This window comes from Homo sapiens, chromosome X (assembly GCF_000001405.40).
Source record: "Homo sapiens chromosome X, GRCh38.p14 Primary Assembly".
Lineage (NCBI taxonomy): Eukaryota > Metazoa > Chordata > Mammalia > Primates > Hominidae > Homo > Homo sapiens.
In genome coordinates this window covers 86736713-86754270 of record NC_000023.11, presented here as the reverse complement: position 1 = coordinate 86754270, position 17558 = coordinate 86736713, and the positions used below count along the sequence as shown (strand labels likewise).

At 33.5% G+C, this 17558-nt stretch overlaps 1 protein-coding gene across 8 annotated transcripts in view; it reads right to left on the bottom strand.

The window, feature by feature from the left end:
* The window catches only part of DACH2 (dachshund family transcription factor 2), a 684152-nt gene that overhangs the window by 78332 nt on the left and 588262 nt on the right, over positions 1-17558 (bottom strand). For all 8 annotated transcript variants that reach the window (XM_011530846.3, NM_053281.3, XM_017029254.2 and 5 more), the window contains one exon: positions 14389-14524. In XM_011530846.3, coding sequence (XP_011529148.1) covers positions 14389-14524 — 136 coding nt within the window. The remainder of the gene's footprint in view (positions 1-14388; positions 14525-17558) is intronic.

Genomic DNA, 17558 nt, shown 5'->3' with positions numbered 1-17558 from the left:
TTTTCATATTTATTTTTCAGTTCAGTACTTCTTTCTTTAGTTTTATTCTGTTGATTAACTCATTCATCTAGTTTTTCATTTCAATGTTTACGTTAATTTATTTCTAACAATTATATTTGGTACTTTAAAAATCTGTTTGGAAATGTTAGTAATCTCTAGTTTCTTGCTTATTAATTTAATTCCATGTTTTAATTCCCTAGGCAGCTCAGATAAAGTGTAAAATAACTATATGTCTGAATAGTTACGGATCTAAATCTATGCTTAGCTGTTTCTGTGATGCTCTCATGGTGGTTGGATTCCTTGTGTGTTTGAACATTTGTTTTTTTTTTTTTATTGTGAGCTCATATTTGGTTCAGTTTAAGGGCCTCAAATACAGGTAGAGAGATCAAAAGATAAAACTTGAGCCCAAAGTAAGGTGTGGATGCTGAATTTGAGACTCCCATTAATATAGACAGGACCTTCAGGTCAGTAGCGCTCTCTTATCATAAACAAACACAACTTTACTCTGAAGAAAAGCACCTGTATTTTAGATGCATTTTAGAATTATTGCATTCTCTGTGAGCTCCTTGGGGACAGGAATAATATCTCTCATCATTACATTCTCAACGCCTGAAATAATGTAGGGTACAGAAGACATCATTTATAAAAATAATTAATGGAAATCATAGTAAGAACTGGAATTATGATCCGGATAAAACCGTGCATGTGAAAACTCTTTTTGTTGTTATATCACTGTCACATGAAATGCTAACTAGACTTTGATAACATTTACTCTCATAATACAATAACAAGATCAGGTCTGATCTATTGTCATCACTGAAACCATCTAGATTCCTCTGTTTATGACAATGTAAACAGTAAATACATTTATCTAACTATAATTTAATGCATCATAAGGAATTTTAAATACTTTTTTATTCTTTTTCCCAGTGACTTACATAATGCAGTTATCTAAACAAATGCATTCAGAATGAATGAATGAATGTATTTATGTCTGTTTTGGAGAAATTTATATTTGCACCTGATGTCGAGATTTATTATAGTTCTCAAACATCCTTATTTAGACAGTTAGCATGAAAATCAGTAATAACACATATAACAGACTGGAAGTAACCGGAGTGTATTTCTCTTCCTTTTAACCAAGAGCCATTTTAAAACAATAAATGAACCATGATTTGTGTGTGTCGGGGTGTATGTGTGTGTGTGTGTGTGTGTACTTTTAATAAGGCTAAATTCTACAGGCAGCATTTGAGATTATATTGAAATAAAAGACATAAAATATGAGAGCTCAAATAATATAAACTTACTTATTGCTAATTCTATATTAATAATCTCTTAGTCATATTTATACAACTGTTCTAATAAGTTCATATGATGACATTAGTGTAGTGATAACATGGTTTATATTCAGGATTAAGCTAATTGAAAATAAAGTAATTTGAATACAAATGTACAAATATCAGTTTACTTGACTCTTCTCTATCATAACACAGAATATTTTTAAATTACATTTTACTTATTCTTTTTCCAAGACTTCCATAGTCACCCATCATACTAGCAGGATTTATTATGCAAGGATATAATCTGCAATTACTATTTAGAAAAATGCTATGTTCTGATCCAAGACAATCAAATCTATGATTCCTGCAAAAAATCAAATAGCCTTAGTTGTATTATTTGTAATATTGTAATTTAGTTATCCTGGTTCTTTAAAATCTGTTTGTTGAGATAATAGCATTACATAGTGATTACTAAAATCATAGAATAACTATGTGTACCTTTTAAAATAAAAACTTTATTTCAAAAGTCTAACCTTTTAATAATAAGCCTATGTCAAGGTATATATATATCTATTTATTTATTTCTCCAAAACAGACATAAAAATGGCCAATAGATATATGAAAAGTTGGTCAACATCAGTAATCACAAGGAAATGCAATTAATAACCACAGTGAGATATCACCTTTCACCTGCTAGTGTGGTTTCATCAAAATACAAAAGATAAGTATTAGAAAGGATGTTGAGAAATTAGAAATTCGTAGTTTTTTTAACATTTCAAATTTTATTATAGGTTAAAGGGTACATGTATAGGTTTGTTACATGAGTAAATCATGTGATTCGGAGGCTAGACGTCCCTGTGATATTGACACCCAGGAAGTAAGCATAGAACCCAACAGACTGTTCTTCTGCCCACCCCCTGTCCCTCGGTTCCCATCTTTACATTCATATGTATTCAATGTTTAGCTCAAACTTATAAGTGAAAATATGTGGTATTTGGTTTTGTGTTCTTGCATTTGATTGTTTAGGATAATTGGCCTCCAGCTCCATCCACGTTACTGAAAAGGACATGATATTGTTCTTTTTATTTCTGTAATATTCCATGTTGTATATGTAGCACATTTTCTTTATCCAATCCACTGTTGATGGGCAGCTAGGTTGATTTCATATTTTTGCTTTTGTGAATAGCACCGCAATAAACATATGACTGCATGTGTATTTTTGATAGTTGGCTTTCAATCCTGTGCATACTTTCTTTTTTTTTCCTATTTCCTTCCTTCCTGCCTGCCTACCTGCCTTTACTTCTGTCTTCTTGTTTTTTGTGTGCTTCACCAGTATTTACATATTGTGAGTCCAACAATGCACAAAACACATGTCAATTTAGCTAGAATCTAATTATATTGTAGCATGAGAGCCCTTCATTGTATCTAATTTGACCTAATGTTGAAAGCATAGGTGGCTCTTATTATTTGGAGGTATGTTCCCTCAATACCTAGTTTATTGAGAGTTTTTAACATGAAGGGGTGTTGAATTTTATTGAAAGCCTTTTCTGCCTCTGTTGAGATAATTGTGTGTTGTTGATTTTTTTTTCACACTAGTCTCACTTAGCAAATCATGTGGTTTTTGTCTTTAGTTCTGTTTATGTGATGAAACACATTTATTGATTTTTATATGTTGAACCAATCTTGTATCCGTGGATGACGCCTACTCTATCATGATGGAGTAGCTTTTTAATATGCTGCTGGATTCAGTTTGCCAGTATTTTGTTAAGAACTTTTGCCTTGATGTTTATCAAGGATATTGGCTTGAGGTTTTCTCTTTTTGAAAACTCTGCCAGGTTTTGGTATCAGGTTTTGGTGCCAAGTTTTGGTATCATAGAATGAGATAGGAAATAAGGATTTGGATAAACTAGAACCTTGTGCACTTTTAGTTGCAATATAAAATTGTGCAGTCACTCAATGTGGAAAACAGTATGGTAGCTCCTCAAAATATATTTTTAAAACATAAAATAGCCATATGATCCAGCTTTCCACTTCCGGGTATAAAACCAAAAGTATGAAAAGCAGGAACCTGGACTGATATTTGTACACCAACATTGATACCAGTATTATGCACAATAACAAATACATGGAAATAACCCAAATGCCAACTTATGGATGAAATTGATAAATACAATGTGCTACATAATACAATAAAATATTATTCAGCCTTAAAAAAGACAGAAGTCTTGCCATATGTGACAACATTGGATGAACCTGGTGGACATTTGGCTAAATGAAAAAAGCCAGTCACACAATGACAAACACTGCATGATTCCACATATATTAGTTATGTAAAATAGCCAAACTCATAGAAACAGAGAGTGAATAGTCGTCGCCAGGAGCTGTAGAGAGAGAGACATGGAGAGTTGCTGTTCAACTGGTTTAAAGTTTCAGTTATGCAAAATGAATAAGTTCAAGAGATCTGCTGTACAGCATTGTGCCTACAGTCAACACTAGTCTATTGAGCACTTAAAAATGTGTAAGATGGTAGGTCTCATATTAAGCATATTAAGTTTTTACAACAAAGAATAATAATAGAAATAGAATTTACTTAGAAAAATCAATGTAATGAATTGTACTAATAAAGCACAAAAACCACAATGTCATCTTGATAGATACAGCAAAACAATGTGACAAAATACAATGTGTTTTCATAGTAAATACACAAAACAAACTAAGCATAGATGAAAACTTCATCAATCTGATAAAAGACATCTATATAAAGCCCACCAATCACATAATATTCAATGGTAAAAACTGAAAGCTTTCCTCTTGAGATAAGAAATAAGACAAGGATATTCACTCTCACCATGTCTATTCAACATTGTATTGCAGTCTCTAGCCACAGAATAAGGCAAGAAATAGAAATAAAAGGCATATAGATTGAAAAAGATAAATAAGACTATCTCAATTTGCAGATAGTATGATCTTATATAGAGAAAATTCTTAAAGAAACTACAGAAAAAAATTGTAAAGAATCTATATAAAACCATTAAAGCTAAAAAAATTAATAAAGTTGAAGAATATAAGAACAATATAGAAAAATTAATTATATTTCTATACACAGCAGTGAGCAATCTGAAATTAAAATTAACAAAACAATTTCACTTATAAATTTGAAAACATTAAAAAACAAAATACAGGCATACCCTGTTCTTTGCACTTTACAGATACTATATTTTTTACAAACTAAATGTTTGTGGCAACCTTGCATTGAGCAAGTCTATTGGTGTCATTTTTCCAATAGCACTTGTTCACATTTTGTCTCTGTGCCACATATTGGTAATTCTCATGAAATTTCAAACTTTTAATTATTATTATATCACTTATGGTGGTCTATTATCAGCGATCTTTGATGTTACTCTAATTGTTTTGGGACTCCATGCACTGCTCCTATATACAATGGCAAACGTAATTGATAAATGCTTTGCATGTTCTGACTGCTTCACTGACCTGTCGTCCCCCCATTTCTCTTCCTCTGCTCAGGTCTTCTATTCCCTGAGATACAACAATATTGAAATTATGTCAACTACTAATCCTCCAGTGGCCTCTAAGTGTTCAAGTAAGAGGAATAGTCACATGTATCTCGCTTTAAATCGAAAGCTAGAAATGATTAAGCTTAGTAAGGAAGGCATGTCAAAAGCCAAGATAGGCTGAAAGCTAGGCCTCTTGCACCAAACAGTTAGCCAAGTTGTGAATGCAAAGGAAAAGTTCTTGAAGGACATTAAGAGTGCTACTCCAGTGAAAACACAAATGACAAGAAAGTGAGCTAGCCTTATTCTTGATATGGAGAAACTTGTAGTTATCTGGATGGAAGATCAAACAAGTCACAACATTTCTTTAATTCAAATCCTAATCCAGAGCAAGGCCCTACCTCTCTTTAATTCCTTGTAGGCTGAAAGAGGTTAAGAAGCTGCAGAAGAAAAGTTGGTATCTAACAAACGTGGGTTTATGAGGTTTAAGTAAAGGAACAATCTCCTTAACATAAAAGTGCAAGGTGAAGCAGCGAGTGTGGATGTAGAAGCTGCAGCAAGTTATCCATAAAATCTAGCTAAGATCATTGAGGAAGGTGGCTACACTAAATAATAGGTTTCAGTGTAGACAAAACACCCTTATATTGGAAGAAGATGCCATCTAGGACTATCATAGCTAGAGAAGAGAAGCCATACCTGGCTTCAAAGCTTCAAAGGACAGGCTAACTCTCCTATTAGGGGATAATGCAGTTGGTGACTTTAAGTTCAAGCCAATGCACATTTTCCATTACAAAAATAAAAACCCTGTAATTCTTAAGAGTTATGCCAAATTCTATTCTGTCTCTGCTCTATGATGGAGCCATGAAGCCTGGATAATGGCACATCTATTTACAGCATGCTTTACTGAACATTTTAAGCCCACTATTGAGACCTATGGCTCAAAAAGAAAAGATTCCTTGCAAAATATTACTGCTCACTGCAAATGAATCTAGTTACCTGAGAGCTCTGTAAAAAGAAATTCATTTTTCATGCCTGCTAACACAACATACATTCTGCAGCTATGTAATACGGAGTAATTGTTTGACTTTCGAGTTTCGTTATTTAAGAAAGGCATTTGGCAAAGCTATAGCTTCCATATATAGAGATTACTCTAATGGATCTGAGCAACATAAATTGAAAACTTTCTGAAAAGAATTCACCATACTAAATGTTATTGCAAACATTTGTGATTCATGGAAAGAGGTCAAAATGCCAACATTAACAAGAGTTTGGAAGAAGTTTATTCCAACCCTTGTGGATGACTTTGAGGGACTCAAGACTTCAGTGGAGGAAGTCACTGCACATGTGAAAATCGCAAAAGTACTAGAATTAGAAGTAAAATGTGAATATATGACTAAATTGCTGCAATCTCATGATAAAACTTGAATGGATGAAGAGTTGTTATTTTATGGATGAACAAAGAACATGGTTTACTGAGACGGAATATACTCCTGATAAAAATGTTGTGAACACTGTTGAAATGACAACAAAGTATTTGGAATATTACATAAAGTTAGTTGGTAAAAGAGTGGTAGAGTTTAAGAGAATTGTCTCAAATTTTGAAAGAAATTTACTGCAGGTAAGATGCCTTCAAACAGCATCACATGCTACAGAGAAATCTTTCATGAAAGGAAAAGTCAATTGATGTGGCAAACTTCATTGCTGTCTTATATTAAGGAATTTCCACAGCCACCCCAACCTTCAGTGACCACCACCCTGATCTGTCAGCAGCCATCAACATCAAGGCAAGGCCCTCCACCAGTAAAAAGATTATGACTCGGCGAAGGCTTAGATAATCATTACTATTATTTTAGCAATGAAGTATTTTCAAATTAAGGTATGTATACTGTTTTTTAGACATAATGGCATCACACACTTAATAGACTACAGTATTGTGTAAATATAACTCTTACATGCACTGAGAAATCAATTTGTGTGACTTGCTTTATTGCAATATATGCTTTATCGTGGTGGTCTGGAACCAAATACATGATATCTCTGGGGTATGGCTGTACTGAGGAGTAAACTTTAAAGAAGTGCAAAATGTATAGTTTGAAAACGACAAAACATTGCTGGAAGAAATTGAAGAGAACCTGAATAAAAGGAAAATATCTTGTTTTCATGGTTCAAAATACTTAATACTGCTTAATACTGCTGATATGGCAATACTCGGCAAATGTATCTACAGTTTCAATAGAATCCTTGTTGTAATTCCAGTTGATATCTTATCAGAAACTGATCTAAAAATTCTCATAGAAACACAAAGGATCAAATAGACCCAAAGCAATTCTGAATAAAATAATAAAAGACTCATATGTCTTTATTTTAAAACTTATTATAAAGCTATAGTAATCAAGATAGTATGATATTGGCAAAAGAATAGACACGCAGATAATTAAACATAATTGAGTGTCCAGAAATCAGTGCTTAATTTTACAGAGAAGTGATTTTTGATGAGGGTGCCTACTTAATTCAATGAGGAAATGTTTAAAACAAACAGTGCTAGGATGATTGAATGTTCAAATGCAAAATAATGAAGTTGGTCCCCTATCTAACACAACAAAAATTAACTCAAAGGGGAGTACAGATCTAAGTGTAAGGACGAAGCATTCTTAGATACAACACCAAAAGCACATGTGTCAAAAAATAGATAAATTGATCTTTATGAAAATGAATAACCTGTCCATCAAAGGATACTACGAAAACAGTAAAAAGATAACCCACAAAATGGGATAAAATATTTAGAAGTCACATGCCTGATAAAGATATTGTATCCATAATATAAAAAGAACTCCTACAACTTAAAAACAAATGATAAATTAAATAAAATAAATAATTAAAATGCCTAATAAAAATTGACAAAGGACTTAAATAGATATTTGTCCAAAGAAGATGTATAAATAGCCAATAAACACAGGAAAAGATGCTCAAAATGATTATTCATCAGGGAATACAAATCAAAGCCAAAATGAGATAATACATCGCAAACATTAGTCTAGCTATAATCAAAATCACAGAAAATAGTAAGTGTTGGAGAGAGCAGGGAGAAATTAAAACCTTCATATATTGCTGGTGGAAATGTAAACGGCTGCATCCACTTTGGCAAAGAGTGTGGTAGTTCCTCAAGTGCTTAAACACAAAATTACCATAAGACACATCAATTTCACTCCTAAGTATATATACATGTGAAATGAAAACACAAGTCAACCCAAAACTGTATGCAAATGTTCCCAGCAGCATTATTTGTAACAGCCAAAAGGTGGAGGTATCCCAAATATCCTTCAACTGATGAATGGATAAACAAAATATGATGTATCCATGCAATGAAATAATATTCTACCTTAAAAAATAAAAGCAAACAACTTCATTAAAAAGTGGACGAAGGACATGAACAGACTTTTCAAAAGAAGGCATACATATAGCCAGCAGCATGTAAAAAATGTTCAATATCATTGATCATTAGAGAAATGCAAACCAAAACCACTATGAGATACCATCTCACACCAATCAGAATGGGTATCACTAAAAAGTCAATAAACAACAGATGATGGCAAGGTTGTGGAGAAAAAGGAATGCTTATACACTGGTGGTGGAAATGTAAACTAGTTCAGTCACTGGGGAAAGCAGTTTGGCGATTTCTCAAAGAACTTAAAATAGAACTACCATTTGAGCCAGCAATCCCATTATTGGATATGTACCCAAAGGAATATAAACCATTCTAAATCATGCATGTGTATGTTCATTGCAGCACTGTTCACAAGAGCAGAGACGTTAAATCAACCTAAATGCCCATTAAAAACATGGTACATATACACCATGGAATATTATGCAGCCATAAAAAAGGACAGGACGATGTCCTTTGCAGCAACATGGATGGGGTTGGAGGCTAAGAGAGAGAACTAATGCAGGAACAGAAAACCAAATACTGCATGTTTTCACTTATAAGTGGAACATAAATATTGAGAACACATAGAAACAAAGAAAAGAACCACAGACACTGGGGCCTACTTGAGGGTGGAGGTTGGGAAGAGGGAGAGGATTCAAAAACTACATGTCAGATACAATGCTTATTACCTGGGTGACAAAATAATCTGTACGCCAAACCCAAGTGACACAGAATTTACATACATAACAAACCTGCACTTGTACCTCTGAACTTAAAAGTTGAAAAAGAAATATGACAATGCTTTTATTCCAGGTAAAATATAATATATACTATTGTGACCAAAGGATGTTAAAACTATTAGCTGTTCATCTGTAGGCTGTGGGTTAACTTAAAATATAACATTTCAATGGGCTAAATTCTTGGGCTGGATGGTGAATTTATTGTTCCACTATTTCTGTAGCATATCAGATTTGATAATCAGAGTGCTTGGGGCATCTTGCACATAGAGAGTTTTCCATTGAAAACATTTACTTCCCAGTGCAAAATATCACAAAAACCCTATTCCTGATAGCAGTTTGAGAGATGAGTGGCTGCCAGAGGAAGGGGGTTTTACTCTGTGCCTTTGTTTCCACACAGGTAAAGTAGAGTGAATAGCCGTAATTGCTGTACTCTAAAGAATCCCAGAACTGACTGTTAAAGACCACATAACACAATGTCATAACGTGATTAATTTGGTCGATTTATTTGACATAGTCTGTGAAAAAATAAAATCAAAAGCTTTATTTGACTGATCAGTTTATTCAAAATACTTGATTCAAAACTAAAATCACAATATTAGGCATAGTCAAAATGGATATCAATGCCGTGAAAGCTCAGGTCATGCAGACTTTGAGACATGTATTATAATGTCATCCAGTTTTACCAGATACAGTAAGGGTGGGCTACATGAATACTCTAAAGGTATGTCTTAATGTTCTGAAAATTCCTTCATGATAGCAAAGCTGGCATTTTATAATTTTCAGAGCTATAAATCATTTTTAAAATCATGATGATACTCAAAGCAGATGTGAAAACATATGTTTGCCACAGTTGTATAAACTGCTTACTTGTCACAGTTAATAAATGTTGACACTTCTACTTTAACTCATTCCCTTTTAATAACTAAACTCTATTTCAGGAAAATATATTTTTTTCTTACCGTCACAAATGTAACTGGAAGAACTTGACATAGAGAATCCCATTTTTTTAATAAAAACCTTTCCACTATAACTGGGGTGCAGTTTAATATGCCACTCTTGCTTATTAATGTCCTCATCAGGATATGTGACCAACTTATTTGAGTTAAACAAGTAATATTCTACCATTCCACAGCAAGAAATTCAGAAATACCAGTGCATACTACTATATATTTTATGAAAATCAGATACTGTACATCTGTAGTAATGCTTGAACTGATTTTTCATAAGACACAATAGTGTATACTTGAGTGCTGCAGTACGTGGGACAGTCCCAAATGCCATTTTGACTTATGGGGTTTGCAGCTCTGATTGTATCATATGCATCATGTACAGCTTGGGACTTTCCTAGCAAAGCTGCTTTACTATCAAGATGTCCTTTAAATAATCATGACATGGTGGGAAAAAAGTCTCAGGAACAAATTGTTGCTGGGTTATAAATGAAGTTTCAACTATAACTAGACTTTCATTACCTGTGCAAGAGTTTGGGTAGTTTAATATCATGAACCTGACTTTCTTTCTGACAACTATTCTGAAATCAATCATCTGCATTTTGGAGCCCCAGAGGGTATAGCCTTTCACTGTCAGGCTAAGAAAAGACAAAACATGTGGCAAGGAAACCAACCATAGATCAATGAAATTAAAATCATATATTATTTCAAATTCCAACTAAAATGCTCATCTAGGTAATTATGAAGCACGTTCAGTTTACAGAAAATAGAAAATATTCTTCATTAACTCTTCAGTTCATGAAATATTTTTTCTATATATTATGGGCACCTTTAGTAAATAGAAAAATTTACCCTGTGGTGAAGTACAATAAACTGATGATCTGATAAATTACATGTTAGCTACTGTCTAACTCATGGTGACAGCAACAATGCATAACCCATGCCATATGATTATATATTTTCCTTTTCTCTTATACTTTCAGCCTTACAAACAAAGTTGTACTCAGTTTTCATATTAGGAGAGCATCACTTTAAAATTCTTACTTTCTCTATCTTCCTTGAACAGCTCTCCTAAGACAAAACTGGATACTATGCAGAGGTGACACATGTACCTCAGCAGATCAAAAGGCAGGTTGAGATCATATCTATCAGTATTCCAGGTAAATACCTGATGGGCTAACTTGCTAAGCTTTCATCTGAAATGTCCAAATTAGCACATATTTTTAAAATAACTTTCAAGGATTGAGGGAAGCAGCTCCCCTCTATGACAGCAACTCAGTTTTGTCAAATATAACCGTCAACTATAACCAGCAAATGGTGAATCATTTAAACATAGTTAAAAAAGTAAATATGTAATACAAAGGGAGTCAGATGTCTCTGAGCTGGCATAGTAAGAGGGCTTAAGATAAAGTTTCCAACTATATGCACAGAAAAATTTCAGGCGGATATGTAATTTATAACCTCCCAAATAAACAATCTTCAGATAAACATCATGTTTTCTACTATTAAAATAATTTATCCAAATCTGGTATGAATCTATTCTTACTAAGGGAAATGTGGATGCAGTATACAGCACACAGGTGTTAACTGAGTTAGTATCTGATTATTATATGTGTATCAAATAAGCAAAAATCATTTTACCTTAATTATCTTTTTGGAATTTTTTGATGGTTAGTCCATTATCTTGATCAACAATAAGTTCCTCTCTATTGTTGGGCATCATAACTATAAATAAGAGATGTAACTGAGTAGTTTTCTATGTGAAATACCCAGAAAAAAGGCAGAAAAGTGTCACACGAATGACGAATATAATGTAATAACAACTAACATAAGTTTTATATGCTTCTACTTCTAAAACAGTAGAAAGATTTTTTGTTGGTCTGAAGATCATATAATGAAAAAATCAGTAAGCTGCTTGATCGTGTGAGTTTTAAAGTATAATCAATATATACAAATATATACATATGAATTTGTATAATTGCCAACATAGCAAAATTAATAGATAATATAACTTTCTGAAAATTATTATGATACTTTATAAAACATATTGAAAGAGAAAAATGTTAATTTTCAGAGTTTATAATTTAATTATCTTTAGTCATATTTTATTCAAACATTATGTAGCCCTATTAATAAAATATGGTAACTGTAGAGTTAAACATTCTCAAGCCTTCTTATTTATTTATAGACAATCTTGGTATCATTCTTAGACAACTATGGAATGTGCATATAGAGCCTAATTACTGCCAGTGTAATTAGAAATAAACTATATTGTCAACATTTTTTTCTAGGATATTACATTGCTTTGGATATATTTGATTTTACTTCTAAGTGTAAGTTGTCCATTCTTTTATGATATATCTATTATATCATAAATATATTTTTTTCTATATATTATGGGCACCTTTAGTAGATAGAAAAATTTACCCTGTGGTGAAGTACAAATAAACTATCTGGTGATCTGATAAATTACATGTTAGCTACTGTCTAACTCATGGCGACAGCAACAATGCATAACCCATGCCATATGATTATATATTTCCCTATGTGCTGTGCTTTTTAGCCAGCACTCAATAAATAATTATCTCTATATATCCCTTTCCCCTTTTTGTCTCCTTCTTCCCACCCTCATCAATATGAATGGTATACCAACAGAAGAATGTGTCCTTTTGGTTTTTAAATTCATTAGCGGTCACTCATTTGTAGACTCTCGTTCTTTCTCAGACTTTCTAGAATCAGTTGTACACAATGTAGTAACAACCAGGTAGTCTATGTCGTAGAAAAGAGTAAAGCTAGAAGACGTCTGTCATGTCTTCCAGGAATTAAACTTACTCTCTGAGGGACATTAGCCTCAAGTTCTGATCCACTGGTTCTTAACCCTGGCTACATATAAGAATCTCTTGAAGAAATGCTGAAAAGCAAAACAAAATACTGCTGCCCAGGCTCTATTCCAGACCAAGTGAATCAAACTCTGAGCTTGTGGCCTCAGCATCCATATTAGTAAAAACTCCATAGGTGATTATAATTGGGAGCCAGATTTGAGAACTGCTATGCTCACTATGAAGCTAAAGGGCTCCAAAAAACATATAATACTGACAAGCTAAGTGAGATTTGGACTAATTTCCCCAAGAGATAGTCTTCATCCTTCTGGAATCTAAAACCTTCCCTAGCCTCCCAAATTTCTCTTCCCCCAAGAAAATACATTATTTTGGAAAGGCTGAAAGCAATCGCTATTATGAGCTGTAAACATTCAGAGTTCACTTAAAGAACTTCCCCCTTGTAAGAGTAAAGGAATAGCAAAAATCATTTTCCTGAAAGGAAATGGGTACATAGGAAATTGGACTGTGTAGGTATAGAAGATCAACAAATATTTTACCTAGCTCAATTGATCGGTAATTACTATATACTAAATGAGAATTTGTTACAGCTGAATGTACCTGTCGACTTCTATATACCTGAGTAGAATTATATAGAAGGAAATGATAAGTAATCAAAGTCAAGTCACACAGAGAAGAGTAATTTTTATTGCCCACACTTCCTTGGCACTTTTTTCACATAATATTTCATTTCACCGCTCAATAATCCAGTGCATTAGGCAGGGTGATAAGTTTTTTCCGTATAATAGGTAAAGAAACTCATGGTGGTTAAGTGGCATACACAAGATGTTACAGCTAGTTAGTGCCAGACCTATAGCTAGACTAAAATTCCCAATATGCCACATCACAACCAATTTCTGGAATAGCATCTATGGTGTAAGGCTTCTGAGAAAACAAAATATATATAAATGTAGGGGAAATCAAATGAGAACACATGTACACAGGAAGGGGAACATCATACTCCGGGGACTGTTGTGGGGTGGGGGGAGGGGGGAGGGATAGCATTAGGAGATATACCTAATGCTAAATGACGAGTTAATGGGTGCAGCACACCAGCATGGCAGATGTATACATATGTAACTAACCTGCACATTGTGCACATGTACCCTAAAACTTAAAGTATAAAAATAATAATAATAAATAAATAAAATAAAATAAATACATGTAGGTGAAATCCTGTTAAATATTTGTGATCTAAGTTGTTGAGATTTTGGCAAATCTTATATTGATTCACTTTTTAATCACTCTTAAATGGGCAACTGCCTAAAGGATATTTTAACTTCCCTTATTCAAAAGATGTTGTGACTGTGTCAGGCGTATTGTATCACATATAGAACTCACCCATACTCTACAAAAATTTCATCATATTACTTCCATGAGATTGAATGATACAGTAAAGGAAGATCTTTCCAGAGAACAAACTTCTAACAATGTAAGTTTCATTTTGTTAGTCATATTGTTTCAGCAATTACAAAAGACCAAATTTCAAAAAGCTATTTATATTAAGGAGGTATCAGCTTCCCCAGCTTTTCCCTCTCCTCTATTTTTCCTAACAACTAATTTCCAGAAACAATGTTTTCCAATTACCTGTTTCAGAAAAGTTACTCACCCATTCTTTCCAAATGATGATCCATCTGAGAGGGAGAGCTGGACACACTGCTGCTGGTGTGGGAAGAGGTCTGGCTCCCAGGACGATGATTCTCTTCTAGAGAAGGAGCAGGAGAAGGACTCTCTGGGATCCGCTCCTGACACAAAAGGAAACACAAAAGGAAATGTCATCTATGCGCCAAGTTTTTATGTTGGTTGAGTCTCTACATTTGAAATGTTGACCTCTCACTTATTGTGAAAGTGTACACATCTACAATAATTGGTCTTAAATACATATATTTAAACAAAAATATATTTTTGATTCTTGTGAAATTAATAAAATATCATGAGGGCTAAATTATAGAAAAAGTCAAAAAAGCATATAGTAAAGGGTCAAGAAAAGTTAATTTCCATTTGCTCTGCTAAAAAATTCATAAATGATTAACAGTGTAGGTGTGTTTTGAAGGTTATTGTTATTGTAGTTTCCAGATTGATGTGAAGTTCATGGCAAGGCCTGGAGTGTGATACTCCTATCTCATTAAGAAGGAGAACTCCCAAATGTAAAGACTTGAGAGCCCTGGAATAAAACTCACAAATTGTGGCACCTGGCACATGTTGAGCTTTTCTGCATGGATAAAATTTATAGAAATAATATACTTGTATATTAGATACCTATAACCTCTCAGACCTTAATAACTTATGTTGAATTCTGCCAACAAAATATTTTAATAGGCTGGGCATGGTGGCTCACGCATGTAATCTCAGCACTTTGGGAGGCCAAGGCGGGTGGATCACCTGAGGTCAGGAGTTCGATATCAGCCTGATCAAAATGGTGAAACCGCGTCTCTACTAAAAATACAAAAAATTAGCCAGGCATGGTGGCAGGCACCTGTAATCCCAGCTATTGGGGAGGCTGATGTAGAAGAATCCCTTGAACCCAAGAGGTGGACATTGCAGTGAGCCGAAGTCACGCCATTGCACTCCAGCCTGGGCAACAAGAGCAAAACTTCATATCAAAAAAAGTATACATATTTTAATAGTCACAGTACACCATTATTGTTTTTTTTCAAACTTACACTATGATCTATCAAGGTCAATTCTTCTACTATTCCATATATTTTTGTAGTTTTCAATAATGTATTTTAATAAAATATTTTTGCATACTTCTGCAGTAATTATTATGGCTCTCAAGACTTCTGATTATTAAAATTGCTATAAAACACTGAAGCTATTCACTATGTTTATGCATCACAAATTGATGACTAAATCCAAATCATTAAGTTAATTTGATCAATAAAAGAACCAAATTGCAGGGTTTATGCACTTATGCAATAAATGTGACTGGGTGATAAACATGCCAGCACAGAGAATGTTCTATAAAATATTTAATTCATCCATAATAAATTTCTTCAATTAAATGTTGTGTCTAATTATCTGTAATCACATCATTATTCTAATCATTATAACATTAAGAAATAATTTGTCGAATATGTGCTTGTACATTTCCACATTGATTTTGCATGAGAAGCCCAAATAACCCCCCTAAAAAACTGTTCGTTTAATGCAAAAGTAATAGCATGAGAGTTAAAATTTATTATTTCATTAGTAGTAGTTAACATTATCCAATGTCTGGCATTGCAGCGGGCACAGTGATGCCACCTCCCCAACTTAAAATCTCCACTCCACATCTTAATTACAGGAACCTGTGAATTTGTTACTTCACATGGCCAAAGGGACTTTGCAGATGCAATTGAGAATCATGAAATAGGGAGATTATACTGGATTATCTTAGTGGACCCAATCTGATCACCAGGATTCTAAACTGTGGAAGACACAGGCAGAAAAGAAGGGTCAGAGGGAGACATGACTGCAGAGGAATTGTCACAGAGATGCAACATTGCTGGCTTTGAAGATGGAAGAAGGGAGCCATGAGCAAAGAGATGTGAGTGACCTTTAACAATAAACATTGGGCACTTCTAGAGGGGGTAGAGAGGGAGAGAGAAAGGGCTGAAAAACTACCTATTAGACACTATACTCACTACCTAGGTGACAGGATCATTAGTATCCTAAACCTCACCATCACATAATATATTCATGTAAAAAACTTGCACATGTATCCCATATATCTAAATAAAAGTTGAAATTATTTTAAAAGAAGAAAAGAAAACAGATAACAGATTCTTCTCTGGAGCCTATAGAAAGAAATGCAGCACACCTTGACCACACCTTGCTTTTAGCCTAGTGAACCTCATGTCCAACTTCTGACCTACAGAACTCCAAGATAATAAATTTGCACTGTGTTAAACCACTAAATTTGTGGCAATTTGTTATAGCAACAATAGAACACTAATACGGTCATCAATGTAGTATGCATATTTTTAAATTTTGTTTGACATTATTGCTTAGCATTTCATTAACATCCAACAATTTTAGTGAAATGAATAGTAGATTTTGAGTATATTAGCTACAATATATGCTAATTAAATAGCAATAATTTTAAATGTATATTACATGTTAAGGACTTTATAGCTGTTGTCATGCCTCCAAAACAATGTTTCCAAACAGAGTAGAATACTGATACATTTCTTTTATATTTAGTCTGCAGGAAAATATCTACTTGTCACATAATGTCTGCACGGAAAAATAAAAAGAAATACAGAAGCAAAACAGAAGAAAAGAATCAAGTTTTTTCCCCCAATAATTCTATTCACATTTTGGAGGGATGATATGGGTACTGACAGCAATATCCATACAGCCCTTCTATCATACCCTTTCACTTTTTAAAAATAGACTTGTAGTTTATCAGTTGTGAAATTCAACTTAAACTATAATGCTTTCAAATATATTATTGAAATAGTATGTGTGTGCATGTGTATATATATAAAAGGAATTTAATATATGTGGCCATTTTTGCCTTTCATCATTGTGTCTCACTGATTCCATGCCAAAATATGTGCAAAAACCGCAGAACATTCACTATTTGTGTTTGAATTCCAACCCTGAAAATTTCCTTTAAATATGTGTAATTCAATGAACTATGTTTATCTCTAATGGACCTCTGAATGAATGGAAAGGGACAAAGTGCAGCAGTTATTGTGAAAAAATAAAACTTACAAAAGGAAAATCACTGTGTAACAGCAAACCAGAATCACATATACAGCAATGTATGCTGCTGGAATAAAAATAAACAAT